Source organism: Homo sapiens, chromosome 1 (genome assembly GCF_000001405.40).
Source record: "Homo sapiens chromosome 1, GRCh38.p14 Primary Assembly".
Taxonomy (NCBI): domain Eukaryota; kingdom Metazoa; phylum Chordata; class Mammalia; order Primates; family Hominidae; genus Homo; species Homo sapiens.
This window is the reverse complement of record NC_000001.11, coordinates 114,495,367-114,511,289: the sequence shown is the minus strand read 5'-3', so window position 1 is coordinate 114,511,289 and position 15,923 is coordinate 114,495,367. Positions and strand designations below refer to the sequence as shown.

General features: G+C 41.5%; 1 protein-coding gene across 7 annotated transcripts in view, besides 2 other annotated features; it reads left to right on the top strand.

Annotated features, from left to right (window-relative positions):
- TRIM33 (tripartite motif containing 33) overlaps positions 87-15,923 on the top strand; it is a 118,414-nt gene continuing 102,577 nt past the window's right edge. For all 7 annotated transcript variants that reach the window (NM_033020.3, NM_015906.4, XM_047422512.1 and 4 more), the window contains exon 1: positions 87-739. In NM_033020.3, the coding sequence (NP_148980.2) occupies positions 214-739 (526 nt within the window). In that variant the 5' untranslated portion in view covers positions 87-213. The remainder of the gene's footprint in view (positions 740-15,923) is intronic.
- Positions 111-220: a silencer, noted in NCBI's record as "silent region_1220". NCBI's record gives its function as "represses an Ori minimal core promoter by ATAC-STARR-seq in GM12878 lymphoblastoid cells {active_cell/tissue: GM12878}" and the evidence as "EXISTENCE:reporter gene assay evidence [ECO:0000049][PMID:35858748]".
- Positions 251-550: a silencer, noted in NCBI's record as "silent region_1219". NCBI's record gives its function as "represses an Ori minimal core promoter by ATAC-STARR-seq in GM12878 lymphoblastoid cells {active_cell/tissue: GM12878}" and the evidence as "EXISTENCE:reporter gene assay evidence [ECO:0000049][PMID:35858748]".

Sequence of the window (15,923 nt, the reverse complement as noted above, 5' to 3'; positions counted from 1 at the left end):
CCGTGCGTACGTGCGCGTGCCGCAACCGCCCTCCTTCAAACGCGCGACGCGAGGGCGGGGGCGCCGCGTGCGCGCGCGCTCTCGTTGGTTCGCTCTCTCGCTAGCTCTCGGCTGCCGCTCTTGCTGCGGCTGCGGCTGGGGCTGGGGGCGGCGGCGGCGGCGACGCGGGCGGCGGGCGGCGCGGGGCGGTCCGGCGGGTTCAAAGAGGAAAACATGGCGGAAAACAAAGGCGGCGGCGAGGCTGAGAGCGGCGGCGGGGGCAGCGGCAGCGCGCCGGTAACTGCCGGGGCCGCCGGGCCCGCCGCGCAGGAGGCGGAGCCGCCTCTCACCGCGGTGCTGGTGGAGGAGGAGGAGGAGGAAGGCGGCAGGGCCGGCGCTGAGGGCGGCGCGGCCGGGCCCGACGACGGGGGGGTGGCCGCGGCCTCCTCGGGCTCGGCCCAGGCTGCTTCATCTCCTGCGGCCTCAGTGGGCACTGGAGTTGCCGGGGGCGCAGTATCGACGCCGGCTCCAGCTCCAGCCTCGGCTCCCGCTCCGGGTCCCTCGGCAGGGCCGCCTCCTGGACCGCCAGCCTCGCTCCTGGACACCTGCGCCGTGTGTCAGCAGAGCTTGCAGAGCCGGCGTGAGGCGGAGCCCAAGCTGCTGCCCTGTCTTCACTCCTTCTGCCTGCGCTGCCTGCCCGAGCCGGAGCGCCAGCTCAGCGTGCCCATCCCGGGGGGCAGCAACGGCGACATCCAGCAAGGTGAGCCGGAGGCCCTGCCTGGCATCTGGGCCGCAAGGGATTTGCGCAACCCTAGAGGAGCTGGGGACGGAGGTGCTGGGGCCTGGGGCTGCTCGGACGGGCGCCATCCCGAGGGGTCTCTAAGGTGAAAGACTCGCCCCTGGGACACTTTCCAGAGAAGCTGGACCGCAAGAGATAAGGGGAGCATGAAGGGAGGGGTGCCGGCTGCGAGAGGCTGGGGGAGGGGACACTGGCTCCGAGGGAGGGTTTGTGATGTGCGGAACCCGGCCGAGCGCTGGTTCTGGAGCTGGCAGACCCGTACAGTGAGAGAAGGGGGATTTGGGAAACACGTTGTGAGGAAGCGTTTTGGCTGAAAGGGCCCGGGCCAGCGAGGTGTTGAGGGAGTAGGTAAGAGGTAAGGGCAGTGAAGATGGATTGCTTTGGAGGGAGGGGACTTGGCGTGTTCACAGATAGGAGAGAGGAGGACTATGGATTAAATGGAGGTGGAGAGAATATGTTGGAGAGCAAGGGGTCCAGAGAAGGCGCCTGGAAGAAAATTGTAAGATGACATGGGGAAAGAGAAACTCGGAAAGTGGACTGCATGGTTAGGGAAAATCCTAAGGTTTGGGGATGAAGGAGAAATGAACTTTGAAGGAAATTGAGAGTTAGGGAAAGCTGGGCATGAATTTGTTTTAGCTAATTGGCCGTTAATGAGCCCCTAGTGTTGGGGCACTGTGCTAGGATTGAATAAAGTACTCAATGAAGACTTCATTCACAGTCTAACAGGAGAAACATATAACTTGCAGCAGTGGAGGTGAGTCCTCAGTACAATGGTTGTGGCACAATAGAGGAAAGGTCAGGGAAATTTCACAGGAAAGGAAATCCATGAACAGGTTTCTTGAAGAATGAGTACCTCACTGGGTTGGAGGGTATTCAGGGCACAGGACACCCTTCTACATCCCTGGAACTAAAGACTGTGTAGGGTGATTGGTGGAAATTAGATTGGATTGATGGGCTGAAAAGATAAAGGTTTCACAGTCTCTTAAACTCTTGGGATCCAGGTGTAAGGACTTCAGAATATTTTGGGATTTTTCTTTTTTCTGGCAAGGTCTGTTATGTGAGACTTTTATCAGGGTCTGAGTTAACTCTATCAAACACGTTAATGTTTCTACATTGAAACACGTGAATGTCACGCTAATGGGATAGACGATAAATAACCTCCCAGCATTCACAGTGGGTTCTGTTGCAAACCAATGAAAAAAATTAAAATTTCAAAGCTTTTGAATTTCGGGACTGTAGGTAAGCGATTGTGGAGCTGCACTAAAGGGCTTGGAATTCATCCTGTAGAGTGTATCCTCGACATTGTGGACTGAAGGATGTTCCTGGAGGGCTTTCATATCAAGAGGATAAAAGGATCAGATTTCTGATCCAGAAAGATCACTTAGGGCACTTGAGGGATGAGGGAAGGCAAGGCTGGAGACAAGGAGACCAGTTAGGAGAATCCTGGCGGTTATCTAGGAAAGAAATCAACATTTGGAATGGGTAGTAAAGGAATGATATATCAGGTATTACAGAATGAAGCATTTTGGTTTGGGGGAACGGTAGGGTTTGGAAATCTACTTTGCCATCTCCTACTTACGACTTGGGCAGATGACCTTTTCTTAGCTTCAGTTTTCTCATTTGTGAAATGGGAAAAAAGTATATAACCTCATAGGGTTATTGAGAGAATGAAGTAAGATAAAATGTGTAAAGTGATTAGTACGTGGTAGTTACTAATGAAATGGTAGCTAGTATATTAATAGTAGTAACTAATAGTGGCTATGGGAATGGAGGGATGGGGGGAGTGTATTGAGATTGGTGTGAGGGAGACAAACGTAGAATTCCACATTTTTTGTTTGGTGGATGGCAATGCTATTAATACATATTCAGACACTGAAGCAGGGCTGGGGTGAGGGTGAGGGCTGGGGTGTAGGGAGGATAAAATGTTTTCAGATTGGGATGTTTTGGGTTTCTAGCATTATTGGTACATGTAGGTAAGAATGTTAAGAGTAAGGCTTTGGTTGTTGGAGAAGCTACTAATTGTTAGTAGGTGTTCAGAGAATAACTGCTGGTGGTCTGTGCACCCATGACCATAGTAAGACACATAGGATTCAGTGTTCTTGTGGGAACCTGGGTTAGGTAAGAGATTTAGAGGGAACCCAGAAATACAGATTGTGTTTGACTGATGTGGCTGAGGGACTGAGGTTATGAAATTGGCTCTCTGAAATTTATGAAGGAGAGAGAATAATATGTAAATCCCCTCTTCATTTCTTTATCCTTTCTTTTTGAAGGAGGGGGAGTAAGTGGAAGGGACTAACCAAATGCTGTCAATCTTAAGTAATATTTCTCTCTAACCAATATCTAAAACAAATTGAGTCTGGAATCCACCATGTTTTTGATTAAAAAAAATTTTTTTTTGAGACAGTCTCGCTCTGTTGCTCAGGCTGGAGTGCAGTGGCTCGATCTCGGCTTACTGCAGCCTCTGCCTCCCAGGTTCAAGCGATTCTTGTGCCTCAGCCACCCAAGTAGCTGAGATTGCAGGCGCATATCACCACGCCTGGCTAATTTTTCTGTTTTTAGTAGAGACGGGGTTTTGCCATACTGGTCAGACTGGTCTTGAACTCCTGGCTTCAAATGATCTGCCTGCCTCAGCCTCCCAAAGTCCTGGGATTACAGGCATGAGCCACTGTGTCTAGCCATCCACCGTGTTTTTAGATAGTCTAGAAAATAATTTGTCAGTATTAACTCCTATATACCATTCTGCTTTGCTCTTTAAAAAGATCAAGCTGTGCTGGAAAGAGCACTAGATTGGGTGTTAGGGGACATAGTTCAGCTCTTTAGCTATTTTACGCTAAAGGAAGTTCATACTGTTTTTGTCCTTCAGTTTCCCTTTAAAATGTAGCTGATAGTCGTTTACTTATATCTCACCAAGGCAAATAATAAATGTGAAAATGCTTTGTAACTGAGAAATGCTTCAACAATACAGGATATTATTGATCAACCTCAGATATCATCTCTGGTCTGGAGATCATAGCTAGTGGTTTTAACTCACCATCTTTTTCAAGTGATTTTGAAACAATGATGAGTATAATGCCCTCCTGCCTAACTGGCCTTTTCCTGTTTCTCTTAATACATTTATTCACACCCTCTGGCTGTTCTTTCTAGATCAACAGTTCTCAGAGTGTGGTTCCTGGATCAACAGCATCAGCATCATCTGTGACATTGTTAGGAATACAGATTCTTGGGCCGCATTCCGGACCTCCTGTCCAGTAGTCTCGTTTAACAAGCTCTCCAGGTGATTCTGATTCACGCTTAAGTTTGAGAACCACTGTCTTGAATGAAGGGCTCTCACTTCAAATGTCTCCTCAGACTTTGACTTCTCATTTTAAAGTAGTCCTCCAGGTCGCTCTCTGATAGATCATCTTATTTTCTTTGTAGCACAGCTAAAATCCAAAATGTTTATTTTTGTTTACTTGCCCGTCTCACTTTGCACTAGGATATTGTAGACTGTTCAATAAATAAGTTTTGTGTAAATAAGAATCACTAGAGAGCTTATTAAAATGCTAACTTGGGAGTTTCTTCAGAGACTGGTTTAGTTGATTTGGTGATGACTCCATGTGCCTGCATTTTTAACAGGTGCCCTGTGATTTTGATGCTGGTGGTACCACCACACTTTGAGGAACACAGATTTAAATATTTTGAGGAGAAAGTACAATCTGTTTACCGTTGGAGTATTTGCAAAATCAAAATAGATAAATTAGTTAATATTGAATCTCAATAGTGAGCTTTTTAAAGTGTTTTTGTGATTTTTTGGGGGGTGCTTTTTCAGGTTGAGGCAGAACAGCTATCAGTAGTGGGTATATATACATTTATACTTTATCAATAAAAATACAGATTTGCTACTCAGGAGGCTGAGGCGGGAGGATAACTTGAGGCCAAGAGTTCAAGATCAGCCTGAGTAACATAGCAAGACCCTGTCTCTCAAAAAATCTTTTTTTAAATAGGAATCATATTGATGCATCTGAACAAACTCTCAGATGAACTCTTGAAGGAGATGAGGCTACCTCTGAGATGGCACAATGATGTGGCTGAAGAAATGAATTGGTATTAAGTTGCATTGGGTTCTGCTATTTTTTTTTTTTTTTTTTTGAGACAGTTTTTTACTCTTGTCACCCAGGCTGGAGTGCAATGGTGCGATCTCGGCTCACTGCAACCTCCACCTCCTGGGTTCAAGTGATTCTCCTGCCTCAGCCTCCCCAGTAGCTGATATTATAGGCACCCGCCACCATGCCCACCTAATTTTTTGTATTTTTAGTAGAGACAGGGTCTTGTCATGTAGGCTAGGCTGGTCTCGAACTCCTGACCTCATGTGATCCACCTGCCTTGGCCTCCCAAAGTGCTGGGATTATAGGCGTGAGGCACCACCTGGCCTCGGTTCTGCTGTTAGTTAGCTACGTAACCCTTGGGCAAGGAACCTAGGAAGTCTCTCCAGGTCTTGCAATACGAAGAGGCTGAGTTCCTATCCCGTTAGGTTATATGATTCTATTGTCTTTTATGCTAACATTCTGTATGTACATACGTTTAATGTCCTTATAGTTTGTGGGGAGGAATAGTGGAATCACCATGGAAAAATCATTCTGTTACTGAATTCTTCAACTTACTGTGGACTGGGCACAGTGGCTCATGCCTGTGATCCCAGCACTTTGGGAGGCCGAGGCGGGCAGATCGCTTGAGGTCAGGAGTTCGAGATCAGCCTGGCCAACATGGCGAAACCCTGTCTCTACAAAAAATACAAAAATTTGCCAGGCGTGGTGGCAGGCACCTGTAATCCCAGCTACTCGGGAGGCCGAGGTAGGAGAATCACTTGAGTCTTGGAGGCGGAGGTTGCAGTGAGCTGAGATCACGCCACTGCACTCCAGCCTGGGGGACAGAGTGAGAATCCGTCTCAAAAACAAAACAAAACGAAACAAAAAAACTTACTATGAAAAGTCTGAGATGGCAACAATCATGTGTAAGTGGGAGGGAAAACCTCTGAGTGTAGTGTGAAGAGCACTTCCTCATAGTGTTTCTGTCTGTTTATCACAGACCATGCTGAGCCACTCTGAGGAGTCTTCTGTTTGAGCCCTCGGAATTTCTTGTCCCTGGAGTGTGTATACTATATGACAGTTCTGGCCTCAGTGTGACTTAACTGGTTTGGGGACTTTTTAGGCTCTACTTTTTCTGACTCTCCTCTTCAACAGAAACAAGCTTGAGTGTTTGAATGATCATGTGGTACTCCACCAACAACCAGTCATTAACGATGTGTCCAAGATTGCTGAAATACTTCTCACAACTTCTGTCTAGCATTGTGGTCAAACTACCTGAATTCATTTTTGAGCTCTACCATTTACTACTGGAATGACCATGGATAAGTTACTTAACATCTGTAAATTGGGAGTAATAATTACACCTACATCATAGAGTTTTTGTGAGAATTAAGAGAGTTAATGTGTTGCAAGGTACATTTATTGGGAGCTTACATGGGAAGCCCCCAATAAATTGTAGTAGTGTTATTTCGGTAATTTTTCATTTGTCCCCCCGTTGTCTTTGTGACTGTATCTCACAGCAAACAGAAAGAAGAGGCAGGGGGGTAAATTGTGGTTTTAAAGGCTTTTCTGATGTCTACTGATATGTACAGCATGCATGATAAATCATTTGAGTTCCAAATCTTCTAGTTACCTAGATCTTGTAAAAACTTATAAACTAATGTCCTAAATCCTAAGTCTTTATAATGTCTAGTATTTGTACATCAAAAGCCCTAGTTAGGGGACTTTAATTACTTTTACTTTTCTCATGGATTCTGCTGTCAGTGGGTCCTAAATGAGAATACCTTAAAGCAGTGATTCTCAAAGTGTGGGCCACAGAATGCTGGGGTGGGGGTGATGGTAGTGACCGTGTCACTGAGACCCTTTTAGAGGTGCACAAGTTTAAAACTATTTTCATAATTACACTAATTTGATATTCTCCTTATTCACTGCGCTGACATTTATATTAATGGTGCAAAAGCAATGATGGATAAAACTGCCATCACCTCTGCGTGAATTAAGATGGTGAGTGACTCCATTTGGGAGGCCGAGGTGGGTGGATTGCTTGAGTCCAGGAGTAGGGGACTAGTCTAGGTAACATGATGAAACCCTGTGTCTACAAAAAATACAAAAAAATTAAATAGGCATGGTAGTGCGTGTCTGTAGTCGCAGCTACTCAGGAGACTGAAGTGGGAGAATTGCCTGAGGCACGGAGTGTCGAGGCTGCAGTGAGCCATGATTGTGCCATTGTACTCCAGCCTTGGCAATGGCGTGAGACCCTGTCTTTAAAAAAATAAAAAAAATAAAAAAATAAAAAAAAAGGATAATGGCTCCAAGCCATACTATAAAAGTCATTGCATATTTACTTTCACACACTTAGAGAAAGAACAAAAATAAACCTATGTCATTGTCACTTAATATCCTTTATGAAACAGTAACAATTACTATATTACATTTTGATCTTTAAAGCTCTGTGTGATGAAGTGGGAAATGTGCCTAAAATGCTTCTGCTGCGGAAGAAAGTGGAAGAAGAGTACTTGTGCAGTTTTTTGAGTTCCAAGCTGAATTTGCTTTTTTTCATAGAAAACTATTTTACTTGAAACTATGGTTTTACTTAAAAACTATGGTTTTTAGGCATGGGTATTTGGCAGCCATTTTCTCAGAAGTGAATGAATTGAGCCTGTCATTTCCAGGAAAACAACTGACATATGTTGCCAGTGATAAAAATTGAGATTTTAAATGAAAATTAGAATTTTGGAAAATTGGTATTTGCTGCCATGAGCTGGTCAGTTTCTCAGTATTTAAAGACTTTCCTGAAGAGATTGGTGGTGATATTAATGAACGTGAATTTTTTTGATATTGTGTAATGTCAACATTTCAAAGATCTGCGTAGCTTATTGCAATATATTCTAAATGAGAAATGCATGATGTTAAGTGCAAAACAGAGCAATAATAAATAGATTGTATTTTATTTTATTATTTTTATTTTTTGAGATGGAGTCTTGCTTTGTCACCCACACTGGAGTGCAGTGGCGCAATCTTGGCTCACCGCGACCTCCGCCTCCTGGGTTTAAGCAGTTCTGCCTCAGCCTCCCAAGTAGCTGGGATTACAGGCACACGCTACCATGCCTGGCTAATTTTTGTATTTTTAGTAGAGATGGGGTTTTGCCATGTTGGCCAGGCTGGTCTTGAACTCCTGACCTCAGTTGATCTGCCCACCTCAGCCTCCCAAAGTGTTGGTATTACAGGCATGAACCACCACTCCCAGCCAATAAATAGATTTTAACGCGAGAGAGTAGTCAAGTTTATTTTTAAGGTTTGAGATGCCACATTGCAACTGATGTTTAAAAAATAAATATTCTTCTTAAGTTTTTGTGTTATATCAAAGAAAAATATCCACACAATGATCTGAAAAGGGTATTAAAATCTGCTTTTCCCTTTTCTTAGATACTTAGCTGTATGAAGCCAGATTTTCTTTATATTCTTCAAAGAAACAACATATTGAAACATTAAATGCAGAAGCATATATCCAGCCATATTCTATTAAACCACATGTTAAAGAGATCTTTAAAATGTATCACAATGACACTCTTTATTAATTTTTTTTTGTTTTAGGAAATACAGTTATTTCTGATTTTTAAAAGTGTTGTTTAAACCTGTCGTGCCGGACATGGTGGCTCATGCCTATAATCCCAGCACTTTCGAAGGCTGAGGTGGGAGGATCACTTGAGCCCAGGAGTTCAAGACCAGCCTGGGGAATATAGTGAGACTCCGACTCCAGAAAAAATAAAAAAATTATCCGAGTGTGGTGGTGTGCGCCTGTAGTTCCAGCTACTCAGGATGCTGAGGTGGGAGGATCACTTGAGGCTGGGAGGTTGAGGCTACAGTGAACTGCGATCATGCCGTTGCACTCCAGTCTGAGTGACAGTGAGACTGTCTGAGAAAACAAACAAAACTAGTAATAAAGTAAACGTCATTTTAACATTTTAAAATTTAAGATTCATTTTTAATTCATCTTGTAATGAATTAAAATATATTTAAAACATCCATTTTTATTATACATTTGATGGTCATACCCCATCTAAACAAAAGCTCTTTGTGTTCCTCAGTAACTAAGACTGTAAGAGAGGTCCTGAGACCAGGAAGTTTGAGCCCTGCTCTGTTAAAGGACATTAAGAACATGATAATGTCTCAGAGTCTTTGGGCCAGTAGGAAGAATGTCAGATCATAAGATAGTAGGTGGCAGATTTATACATTTATAGTTCTTCATTTTGGAGTACCCATAACAGTTCAGAAAAAGCCTCCCTTTAGTAAAATGTAAAAATGAAGAAAGTACTTATTAACTGAAGTTAAACTTCTAAAAATAGGTCACTATAGATCTACTGATTTTTTTCATGTTTATGACAGTCTATCTAAGCCAACTTCAGAGATTGGGCTCAGGATGGTAGATAAATTAACCTCTGTCTCTTCTTTGGCCACAAATTGCACATCTATCCCTAGCCATTTGACTCAAGGGGAAGTGGGAAAAAGAACAAGGATGGATAAACATAAATATACCATTTTTAGAAAAATATTTAAAGCCTATGCCCCAGTGATGAGTAAATAGCATGCACTATATGGTACTAATGAGTACATTTGAATGCTTATATGCTATTTATGTTCCTTTTGTGAATTATTTGTCCATGTGTTTTATGTTTTTCTTTAGATTGCTTACATTTTTTGTTTTGATTTACAAGAATTCTTGACAAATTCTGTATACTGATCCTTTGTTGATGATGTAGGTTGAAGATTTATTCTGAGCCTATGGCTTGGTGTGGTAGCCAGCCTCTAAGATGGCCCCTTGTTCCTTTTCTCCTGTTATTCACACCGTTGTATGGTTGCTGTCCAGTTGCTCAAGGCTGGTCTCCGTGACCAAGAGAATATAATAGAATTAATAGTGACTTTATTAAAAAGTCATTAAAGCCATATATACAGTTTTTTCCTTGCTCTTTGAATCCCTTGTTCTGGGTGAAAAACAGCTGTCATTCTGTGAAAGATACTCTAGTAGTCCTTTAAAGAGGCCATATGGAGAAAAATTGAGGTCTTCTGCAAAGACCCAGCACCAACTTGCCAGCTATGTGAAAGAGCCGCTTTTGAGGTAGATTCTCTATCCTAATCAAGCTTTCAGATGACTGCAGTCCTTCCTGGCTGACATCTTGACTGCAGCCTTCTTAGAGGCACTAAGCCAGAACTGCCTGCCAAGTCCCTCCCAAATTCTTTTTTTTTTTTTTTTTTTTTTTGAGACGGAGTCTCGCTCTGTCGCCCAGGCTGGAGTGCAGTGGCGGGATCTCGGCTCACTGCAAGCTCCGCCTCCCGGGTTCACGCCATTCTCCTGCCTCAGCCTCCCAAGTAGCTGGGACTACAGGCGCCCGCCACTACGCCCGGCTAATTTTTTGTATTTTTAGTAGAGACGGGGTTTTACCGTGTTAGCCGGGATGGTCTCGATCTCCTGACCTCGTGATCCGCCCGCCTCGGCCTCCCAAAGTGCTGGGATTACAGGCGTGAGCCACCGCGCCCGGCCCCAAATTCTTGTTTCAAGAAAGCTGTGAGAAATAATTATTGTTGTTTTAAGTCATTAATTTTTGAGGTAATTTGTTACATAGCAATAGATAACTGATACACTTTTTAGAGAGCTGTCTTTTCATGTTTTTATATTAAAATAGTTTTTCCTCCTTTTTTTTTTGCTGTTCTTAGTAGCTTTATAATAATAAGCAGTAAGTTTTGTTCATTAAGGTAATTTCACTGCCCTCTCTACGTATACCTTGGTCATCTTCAAGATTATCTCGACTGATCTTGACCTTTTGCTCCTTTTTTTTTTTTTAATTAAAAAATTTCTTTTTCCAAGACAAACCTTGGCCATTCACCTTTTGCTCACTCTTATACTAAAATGTATTATCTTGTGAAAGTTCATTTTAAAAACTTATTAAGCTGTGTGTGGTGGTACATACCTGTAGTCCCAGCTACTCAGGAGGCTGAGGCAGGAGGATGGCTTGAGCTTAGGAGTTTGAAGCTGTAATGTGCTATGATTGCACTTGGGAATAGCAACTGTACTCCAGCCTGGGCAACACAGAGAGACGCCGCCATCTCTTTAAAAAAGAACAGAAAAACAACGACAACAAAAAACCTGTCAGTGTTTTTGTTGGAATTGCTTTGAATATGTAAATCAGTTTGGGAGAAAATGTCTTTATTGTGTCTGCCTATTTATACACATGGTATGCCTCCACATTTTCTTAAGTCCAAAAATGTTTTTGAGTGTATATTTTGAGACAGAGTCTCACTTTGTTGCCCAGGCTGGAGTGCAATGGCACGATCTCTGCTCACTGCAACGTCCGACTCCCAGGTTCAAGCAATTCTCCTGCCTCAGCCTCCCAAGTAGCTGGGATTAGAGGCGCCCGCCACCATGTCTGGCTCATTTTTGAATTTTTAGTAGAGACAGGATTTCACCATGTTGGCCAGGCTGGTCTTGAACTTCTGATTCTGAGCTCAAGTGATCTGCCTGCCTGGGCCTCCCAAAGTGCTGGGATTACAGGTGTGAGCCACTGTGCCCGACCTATTTTTTAAATGTCTCAGGTATACTGATTTCATATTTATATTTGATAATTCCATTATCTGATGTTCTTGATGTCTTATTTTACTGCTTGCTTCTGCCTGCTCATTTGTTGTGGGTGGTGTCCTCCTGTGTTTTATAGTTTTAGACAGTGAGCCTGTTCACTAGGGCTTTATGAAATCTGCCAGACTGGTTTTAGGGAACAAGCCTCCAGAGGGTATTTTGCATTTGCTTCTGTCAGGTGCCACCAACACAGAAATTACTGAAGCAGACTTTTAGTTTACTATATCTTAGTATTGTCAGATGTTGATTTAGTGTTTACCTTATAGGCTGGCTTGTATTTAGAAATTCTCAGAATTATACACAATGTGGGTGTGGGGAAAAAAAAAAGGGAATTCTCAGGAGAAAACTTTTTTCCTTACCCCGAACCCAGACAGTGACAGATTTCTTCATTTCCATGCTGTTGGTCAGATTTTTTTTTTTTTAATTTCACTGTTCTTTGCTTATGCACCCTAATAACTGAGGTTGTAATCGTTCAAGTCAGTTTTAGGAAGATGAGTCTTGATCTAATTAATACTTTACACAGGCCCTAGGCTCCCATGTCTTCCCCATTCTTTGTTTACGCCCTTGTTTGTACATCCTAAAGAAGAGTCACTAAGAGTATAATTTCTGAGCCTTTGAATTTTTGAAGTTTTCTTTATTCTACTCCCTTCTTAAATGATAGCTTGGCTGGATATGAAATTCTGGGTTAAAACTTTTTTCCTCAGAACTTTTAAGGCATCTCTTCCAGTGTCTTAAATCAGTGTTGCTGATGCTACTCTGATTTTACTCCTTTGTACAACCCCAGTTGGGTTTCATTTGTTTATTTACCTCTTCTTGAGATCTTTTTATCTTTTTATGTCTTGGATCTCTTCATCTATTTATCAGTTGTTTTGAAATATAGTGATATGCTTCTATTTTTTTTTCTAAAAGTTTCTAAAAGTTCATTATGCTTTTTCATTTAGTCTTGTAATCTTCATTTATAGTAAGAGAACTTTACATTTTTTTCAGAAGGTCCTTCCCCACCTCCCACTCTTATTGAACTATTACTATTTGGATGTTGGCTCTCCTAGGTTCATATTCTCCGCTGTCTTTTTCTAGTTTCCTTCCCTTTGTTTTCTTGCTCCACTGACATTCTGAAAGATCTTCTTGTCCTTGTCTCTAACCCTTTTATCCAATTTATTAATTACATTGTACATTTCTTTTTTTTTTGAGATGGAGTCTCATTCTGTCACCCAGACTGGATGGCTCACTACAACCTCTGCCTCCCTGGGTCAAGCGATTCTTCTACCTCAGCCTGCTGAGGAGCTGGAACTACAGGCGCATGCCACCACACCTGGCTAATTTTTTTGTATTTTTAGTAGAGACGAGTTTCACCATGTTGGCCAGGCTGGTCTTGAACTCCTGACCTCAGGTGATCCACCTGCCTTGGCCTCCCAAAGTGCTGGGATTACAGGCGTGAGCCACCGCACCTGGCCTACATGGTACATTTCTAAGAGCTTCCTTGCTTAGGTTGTATTTTTATAAGATTCTGTTCTTTTTCTGTGGACTTAATATCTTCTTTCTCTGAGGATACAAATGTTTTTCTTCCCCAGGCAAAATATGTATTTTACTTTATTTTTCATTTGACTTTTTACTTTTGAAACATTTCAGGTATACTGATTCCTTATTTATATTTGGTAATTCCATTATATAACTTTTTTTTTTTTTTTTTTTTGAGACAGAGTCTCAGTCTGTCGCCCAGGCTGGAGTGCAGTGGTGCGATCTCAGCTCATTGCAACCTCCGCTCTTGGATTCAAGTGATTCTCCTGCCTCAGCCTCTGGAGTAGCTGGAATTATAGACGTGTACCACTGTGCCCAGCTATCATTATATAACATTTTTGACATCTTATTTTACTGTTTGCTTCTGCCTACTCTTGTTTATCTTCTATTCCCTTTATTATCTGTTTTACTTTTTTTTTTTTCTTTTGATCTTTGTGTTTCATAGGCTTCCTCGAGCAATAGATGATCCTTGGTTGTCTCCCCACTTGAATGAGGCAATACAGTTCTGATGGAAGATTCTGTGCTTCTGTGTGGGGCCTGTTAATTGTTGGGCATTGCTTTAGATCAGGGATTGGCAAACTGGCCCATGAACTAAATACAGTCAACTGTATGGTTTTGTATGACCTGTGAGCCAAGAATGATTTTTATATTTTAAATAGTTGGGAAAAAAGAATATTTTGTGACACATGAAAATTATTAGAGGCCAGGCAGGGTGGCTTACGCCTGTAATCCCAGCACTTTGGAAGGCCAAAGTGGACAGATCACCTGAGGTCAGGAGTTGGAGACAAGCCTCGCCAATGTGGTGAAACCTCATCTCTACTAAAAATACAAAAAAAAATTCGCTGGGTGTGGTGACAGGTGCCTGTAATCTCAGCTACTTGGGAGGCTGAGGCAGGAAAATCTCTTGAACCCGGGAGGCAGAGGTTACAGTGAGCCGAGATTGCGCTGTTGCACTCCAGCCTGGGCAATAAGAGCGAAAACTCCATCTCAAAGAAAAAAAAATTTTAAGTGTAAATTTGTGTTTAGAAATTTTTATTTGAACACAGCCACGCACATTCATTTATGTATTGTCTTTGACTACTTTCATGCTATAATGGGAAAATTGAGTAGTTGTGACAAATACTGTGTACTGCTTTTTGGTACATTACAAATTGCAGTGATGCAGCTATAACTTGATAGGGATGTGTATGGCTGTAGCACAACATTTAAAATTTAAAAAATTGTCCAAAATATTGCATACCTATCATTTCAAAGAAGAGTGAGTGGATTTTAAATGTCATGCTTTTACAGCAGAGTACATTTTGTTTTGAGTTAGATGGCAAAGCATGGTGTTTATTATGTACTTACACTATAGCTGTGCTGAAAGAGTACAGTGTTTTGTTGACAACTCCAGAGTAAGCACTGATTACATTATTCCCAACTCACAGGAAAGTAAAAATCAGAAATAAGAAAGTTTAAAATGGAATATCTGATCACAGCAGAATTTCTTAAAAATAAAAAATGAAAATGAGGCTCTTCAAACATGGGAAGTTTTTGAGTGGCTCATTCATTAGCCAAACAGGGATAGCTCTTCACCTGTGGTGAGTTAATTAAAATTTTCCCAATTAAATGAGAATTTTATTCTTCTCATTGGTAGACCTGTATTACAAAAAAAATTACTCAATTATTATATTTTGAATTTGTAGATAAAAATTGTGGAAATTTTTCTTTCATTATGTAAATACCTACATACTATCCTTGATACTTTTTTCCTAAACAACCTAAGTTATTTACTATGCCTTGTGATGCCACATCCCATGTTTTCATTTGATGGGACATGTTAGGTGTTGGTTATGAATCAGATTTCAGGCAGTGTTGTGTGTACAGCCTGACCTGTTGTCCACAATAGATTTGGAAGAATGAGAATTTACAGGGTTCTACTTCTAACATCACAAATGACTGCCAGAATGAATTCCACAAATGAATTTTGGACCAGTCTGGCCTGTCATCCATGTGTGGTTTATTAATAGAATGCTAAAATTCAAATTACACAACTCATTTCTTTTCCCATCACTGAGGGTTGGCTTAAATACTATCCCTCACAAAGTAAATACTTAAGCAAAAAGCTAATGTCAGTCAAAAGATCCCCATCAGTTTTTTGTCTGCCGTAGGGCAGATATGAGGGTAAGGTATTGAGAATCATTTCACTGTATTACTGTGCTTATGAATCTGAAGTATTGAAAGTAATAAGAGCACTGCATTTCAGCTGTCCTTCGTATATTACATTTTCTGCTTTGTGTTGAACATTACCTTCATTTGTTGTGAGGCATATAAAAGGGATGTATGTAATGAACCTTGGACCCACTGAATCTCGCTGGAGAGGTAAGAGATTATATTAAAGAACAGTATAATACATTTTATAATAAATTAGTAATAAATTTGATTTCAGTAAACCAGATATTTGTTGAAATATGGTTCAAAAGAATTAGTCATAGCTGAAATTTACTATTTCTGCTCTTAATGTTGGTTTGGAGGTGATTCCCTCTTTTTCATTTGTGTATTATATGATTTTAGTCCTTATGCTTTTGGCTGTAATCTAGGCTGCTCTTGACATCCATCCAATTTTCTCTTCTCTGTTTTCCTTCCTCAATTTATGTTGAATGCTTTCAAAGTAGATTATCTGAATTAATAATGGCAGGAAAGAACTAGCTGTGGATAAGTTTATTTGAATCTGTCTAGACTTCTGTTCCTTGTCTGTAAAATAACATATTTTGTTATGTTTTATCTTACGTTAAAGATAAAACTTTTTCGTGTTATCTTATTTGCCTATAAAAATCCTCTCAGAGGGAAGACTCATTCTATTTTGCGGAATGAAGTTTTGCCCAATTAAAAAGAATTATTTCAGGGTGATAATATTATCCTTGTTTCTTTTTTAAACAAATGAGGCCACCGAGGT